This window comes from Homo sapiens, chromosome X (genome assembly GCF_000001405.40).
Source record: "Homo sapiens chromosome X, GRCh38.p14 Primary Assembly".
NCBI lineage: Eukaryota > Metazoa > Chordata > Mammalia > Primates > Hominidae > Homo > Homo sapiens.
In genome coordinates this window covers 109,623,434-109,629,621 of record NC_000023.11, presented here as the reverse complement: position 1 = coordinate 109,629,621, position 6,188 = coordinate 109,623,434, and the positions used below count along the sequence as shown (strand labels likewise).

General features: G+C 48.4%; 1 protein-coding gene across 1 annotated transcript; it reads left to right on the top strand.

Moving 5' to 3' along the window:
* Positions 4,450-5,922, top strand: KCNE5 (potassium voltage-gated channel subfamily E regulatory subunit 5). Its single transcript, NM_012282.4, has one exon. It carries the CDS (start codon positions 4,602-4,604, stop codon positions 5,028-5,030), a length of 429 nt encoding a protein of 142 aa, NP_036414.1. The 5' UTR covers positions 4,450-4,601; the 3' UTR covers positions 5,031-5,922.

The window sequence follows — 6,188 nt, the reverse complement described above, 5'->3', positions numbered from 1 at the left end:
TAGTTGGTGCCTCATGAAGCCTTCTTTCTTTCTCTCCTTTAGAGCCCACTGTGGCTTTGCCAGCCTTCTGGACTCCGACAGTGCTTACCATCTGTGTCTGTCCTTTGGCAACTAGCCAAACTCAACTCAGTTCAATTCAACCAACTTCCATAGAGCTGCACTGTTGGCAGGAAGCACTCACAGTCTCAAGGAATGGGGAAAGCATTTCCTATCCATGGCGCCTCAATTGTACTTTTAAAACAAACTTGGCATGGAAGAGAACCTTTCCCGAGACTCTTTGAAAGTCTAAATACATGATTGTAAATTACTTCCCTTTGTCAACACCCTTGATTACCATTTTGGAAATGAGTTCCAGGTGATGGATAAACAGATGATTATTTGACAGGTATGGGGCTCGTGGAAAATGGGGGTGGAGGGGTGGTGAGGAATGAGAACCAGTGCCCATCTGGTGGATTTGCAGTTTCATTAAGTGTGGTAGGGAAAGGGGTTAGCATCTCAGCCATTCCAGGCTGGCCTGGAACTGAGATTTAAAGGATGCCCATCAGCCCCTAGTGTGAAAAGAAAGCCAGGATCCCCTCCACCCCACACCTGTTGTTTTTTTTGGAGTGCTGGGCCTTTTTAAATTTTATGACTATTCTCCGTTTCTATTTCCACCCGCTTTTACACATCTATCCCTCCCCATGCCATTCTTCTATAAATTAGTAGGTTGACTTCTCTCTGGTAGTGATTTCTTTCAATAAAACTAGAAGTAGCGTTGTGTTTATTAAAACATTATTTTAATAGCAAAACATGAAAATAACAGAAATATTACAATAAATGGCAAAGTTAAATAAGTTATGGTAGATCCATAGTCTGGAGTACTGTGTAGACAATAAAATAACACTAAGGAGTCAGTATTTAGAAAGGGAGACTTCCATGAAATTGCTATCATATTCCATTTTAATCCACTCTTTTGATCAATATTGCAGGATCTGGATGCATTCATTGTGCAATATTGGAAATTATTCTTAGCTTATAACTATACTGTGGCTGGGGAAAAGATGTTCTTTAAAAAATAAAATTTGTAAGTGATCTACTCTAAAAAAAACAAAAACAACAACAAAAAATAACGCTATGGAGAAATAGTAAATGACATGGAAAAATTTACAGTATGTTTTTAAGGGAAAAAGGCCATGAAACATGAGAGAGAGAGAGAGAGAGAGATTTGAGAGAGAGAGTCATGAGTATGCACCATTGATAATTTTTCGTTCTTTTCTCTTGTCGCTTTTTTGTGTTTTCCAAGATTTCCAAAATTTTCCTTGTTGCTTTTTTGTGTTTTCCAAGATTTCTGCATTGAATGCTGCAAAGTAAAGCTCAGAAGGGTGCATTGTGAAGAATCTGAAAGCACAAACAGGGGCATAGAGCAAGGCTTCTTTCAGTCAACGAATTTTGAGGAAGGCAAAATGCACAGAGTATTGCAGAGGAACTCCAGGAAGATGCTGTTTTTCAAATTCAAAGGGGAGAAGATGGTGTCTATTGGTGGTGAGAACTTAAGTTCCACCACAGAAGACTAAACTCTGTTAAAGAATCAATGAGTAACAACTCCTGGGTTTCTGAACATAGGGCTGAATTGATAGAAGTGGTGTTGGAGAATTATTCTAACCATAACATGATAGATTCAGCTGTAAGCCAGGAGATTCTCTGTTTGCATATTTGACCTGAGGTAATGAGAACATGGATTAAGCTTGTGGCAATAAAACCAGAAAGGAAGGAGCAGAGGGATCTGAGACATGCTACCAAGAATCAGAGCTAGAGATTCAAATTTGGCTAAATATATGCCAAGTGGTAGGTGAAACCATGTAAGAGACACTCTTCAAGGAAATGGGTGTTGAGAGAGAATAGCTGAGGACTGAGTCTTTGGGGATTCCAACAGTTAATGGGAGGAGGAAAGAAGGGGAGCCAGCAAAGGAGGCAGAGAATGGTGGGTCAGAGAGATAAGAAGAGAAATTTGAGAATGCAATGCCACAAGAGCCAAGGGTAGGACAGTTACAGGAAGGAGTGGGTGGTTGATGGTTTCAAATTCATCCTCGAGGTCAAAGATGCAAAGGGAGCAGAGACCCCTGAATTTGACCCGGAGGTCACTGGTGAACTGACTTATAGAAAGTAGTTTTGGCAGAAAGCACTGGACTCTAGAAGGTTCAAGAGGAGGGAGAGGTGGGAAAATGGAGGTAGCTCATGAATACCACCCATTTGACACAAGTAATGTGTGAGGACTGAGAAGAAGAAGGTCAAACTTTATAATTCCAGTCCTGCTACTTAACCAGTCTGAACCTCAGTTTCCTCTTTGGAAAATGAGAATCCTATTAGCTCATAAGGCTGTTGAAATTAGAAAACAAGTTTAAATGATTATTTGTATGTTACAGTAAAGGGGTTTCTTCCTCCTTTCCTCTCAAAAAAAAAAAAAAAAACCCTAGCTATTTCTAGGTATATGTTAACACAGCAGTCCTCAACCTTTTTGGCACCAGAGACTGGTTTTGTGGAAGACAATTTTTTTCATGGACACTGGGGAGGGGTGGATAGTTTCAGGATGAAACTGTTTCACTTCAGATCATCAGGCATTAGATTCTCATAAAGAGCATGCAATTGTAGATCCATGGCATGCGCAGTTCACAATACGGTTTGAGCTCTTCTGAGACTCTAATGCCACTGCTGATCTGACAGGAGGTGTAGCTCAGGCGATAATGCTCACTTGCCCTCTGCTCACCTCTTTCTGTGCGGCTGGTTCCTAACAGGCCAAGGTCCAGCAGCCTGGGAGGTTGGGGACTCCTGTTTTAACAGATAAGAGAAGTCTTTTTAGCTCAACAGTCATATCACTAGGTTAGCAGTGCTTTGAAAATTCTCTGGCTGTGTCCTCTGGCATTCATCCTGCCAAGTTGCTTTAACAATTCTTTCCTGAGGCCCTCTGAGGTGAGAATATTGAGGCAAGGTGATTAGAAGGGAGCCAGTGTCAGGGTCATGTGGAATGTCTCTGAGGCCTGTTTAGAGGCTGTGAAGCAAGGCTCTGTTTGAGACCCTGGATACAGTTTGGTGCCAACCTCACCTGAACACACAGAAGGCTACAGCCCCTGGGTGGATGGTGGGCTGAAGAACGGTTGGGGAAGAGGCATCGGAAAACCTTCCTTTTTTAACCCATGGCACCTATAGATTGAATGGTCCCTGGACTGAACGGTCTTGAACAGGCAGCATTATTTTCAAGGTGTGCCTAAGGTCATACACTTTTCTTGCTTTCTGCTCTCATTTGGCAACTATGGACAACCAGACCTAGCCAGCACTACCTCATTTTTTCTACCCCACCATCTACAAACCAACCCTTTTCCTTTGTGAAGCTCAGTCTGTTTCCAATTTAACATATCTGGCCTGATCTTTGTCTTGGTGCCTTGTTTTCCCCTAAAAAAAGACAGCCTTTGAGAAAAAAATGGCTGCCCTAAAAGCCATTAGGGCCTAGACCTGTTACCAAGTCTAGAGAGGCACACAGCTGTTTGCTGGCCTAACTGGGAGTAGGGTGAGCATATTCTCTAGAACTGGCACTTTTCAGATCCCGAGATATCCACAGAGTGTAGTCAAAGGGCCTTTTAAAATGTGCATGCTACTCTTATTGGAAGAACTTGGTTTCACTTCTGGGAAGATGGCTTACTTACCCATGGGAAACAGGCTCCCATTATGAATAGTACATTCATGTGCTAAGATGTGTTGACTTTTCAAAAAGTGTCATAGGACATCAGAGCAGGGGTGCTTCCAAGAAGGTGTAATATCACTTATATCACCAGAAACCATTTTGGATAACCAGGGAGTTCTACTCTGCCTTGGCCTTCTAGCAGGTGCCTGAGCACTCAGTCACCAAATTCAGCCTGAGCATCTTCTGAATAAGATGCTCTCCTCCGACAAGGTGGGAGGGGGGTGAAAAGGGGGGCGGGGGGAAAAGGAAAGGAATGAGGACTAGAAAGATAGGCCTGGGTCCCTGTATATGGGAGTAACTTCCATAAAATGTGGACAAGGGGTCTCTGCTGCGGAAAGGCGTCTGCCCTCTCCCTTGAGCGCCCCAAGGCAGAGCTGCCTTAGGGGGCCAAATGCTGTATCTGGGCCAAAGCCTGGCCTGCAGGGCAGGTGGCCAGAACTTGGAAGGAATTCTCTTCCGCAGCCCAGGGTCCAGGCTTGGCCCCAGCAAGCTGCCCTGCCAGCGTCTGCTGCCTGGGGCCTCGCGCATTCCGAGCCCCCGCCCCCTCCGCCCGTCTCCCAGCCTCGCCCCCACTCTTGTCCCCTTCTCCTCCCCCCACCAGCTGTCCCCTTTCCCTGGAGCAGCGAGACAGCCAGAGCCTGGGAAGAGGCGGCCGCGGGCCGGAGGGGGCGTGGTGGGGAAGGGGAGGAGGGGCGGGAGTGAGGGAATAAGGAGGCCCCGCCGTCGGCGCCCCCAGCCACTGCGCGCTCGCCGGAGAGCTGGGTGCTACCGCTGTTTCCGCTGCTGAGCCCTGCCCGCCGGCCGGCCCGCTCGCTAGCTCGCTTCCCCTCGCCCAGGGGGAAAGGTCAGCAGCGTCCTGGAGCCGCCGTGTCACTCCCCGAAAGCCATGAACTGCAGCGAGAGCCAGCGGCTGCGAACCCTTCTGAGCCGCCTGTTGCTCGAGCTGCACCACCGGGGTAATGCCAGCGGCTTGGGCGCTGGCCCTCGTCCCAGCATGGGCATGGGGGTCGTGCCTGACCCTTTCGTGGGCCGCGAGGTGACCAGCGCCAAGGGCGACGACGCCTATCTCTACATCCTGCTCATCATGATCTTCTACGCCTGCTTGGCCGGAGGCCTCATCCTGGCCTACACCCGCTCCCGTAAGCTCGTCGAGGCCAAGGACGAGCCGTCCCAGGCTTGCGCCGAGCACGAATGGGCCCCGGGAGGCGCCCTGACCGCCGACGCCGAGGCTGCCGCGGGCTCCCAGGCCGAGGGCCGCCGCCAGCTTGCCTCCGAGGGGCTGCCTGCCCTCGCCCAGGGCGCTGAGCGGGTCTAAAACCACAGCCCCAGATTGCTGGTTCGCGCCCTCCTCATCTCGCTCATCCCTGGGCGCGCCTCCCACCTTCCACCCCCAACTCCCTTCCAGGGTTCGCCTCATCTGAGGCCCAGATAATGGTGAGAGGCCAGGAGACCTTGTCTGGAAGGCCCTGGAAGGAGAAGCACCACCTTACCCATTCGGGCCAGTTTCTCCCTCTTCACCCCTGCGCCTCCACCCCTACCCCGCACATCCAACTGCACTAAACTGCCTCTGCTCTCTTGTCTTCAGACAGCCCTGACAGCACGCTCCAGCCCTCTGGGAACTGAATCCAACACGTCCAACACTTGGCACTGAACTGAAGCAATGCATTCTATCAGAACTCTGGGCCGTCTAACTGGCAGCTGCTCCAGGGGCTGCCAGGGACTGCTCACTCTGCAGAGCCAACGGGCTTGCCAGGCCGACTGCAGCAGCTCCAGCTTCCAGTTGCCTTAGGGACAGAGACAAAGGAAATGAAGAGACCTCAGACATCTTTTCCCTCCCTCTCTCTTTCAGCAGGGAGCTAGCAGGACACTAGGACCAGTCTGTGGGATAGAATGAACTTAATGGGGGACGGAAGGGGGAGGAGTGCTCAACGGGGAGGGAAATGATCTATGACTCCAACCGTATGATTTTCTTGCCTCCCCAGTTTTCATCCCAGTGGTAACGCCTGATTTTTGGTAGCTATGCCATCTTCTGCTGAGGATTACCATTACTGGGTGTATCACCCCAGTACTTCCAAATGCCTCTCCTCTATTGATTCAGTTGTTATTGCAGTGTCTGCTTCATCCGTGGAACTTGAGGCTCAGATGCCCCCTGCTCTGTAACCCTGGGGAATGTCAGAGGCAGGTAATAAAGGTTGTTTAAACAATAACGCAAGACTCTTCTCTCAGAGATTCCAGCCTTAAGACCCAGTACCATATGGAGAAGGAATCCTTTTTCTTTTGCTTTTGGAAATGATGTTTGGATTTGGGGGTTGGGTGGTTGTGATATTTATATCTATGTAACCAGTTCCAATTTGATATGTGTGATTATGGGTGAAGAAAATGTTTATATGGCTAAATGGGTTGTTTTTTCAAGTGTTTCAAAAGTTATACCTACTTTATTACTTATCCCTCCTTTTTTCTTATTTCTGAAGCA

Coding starts and splice junctions, on each gene's coding strand:
- KCNE5 (NM_012282.4), top strand. CDS start 4,602: ATGAACTGCAGCGAGAGCCAGCGGCTGCGAACCCTTCTGAGCCGCCTG.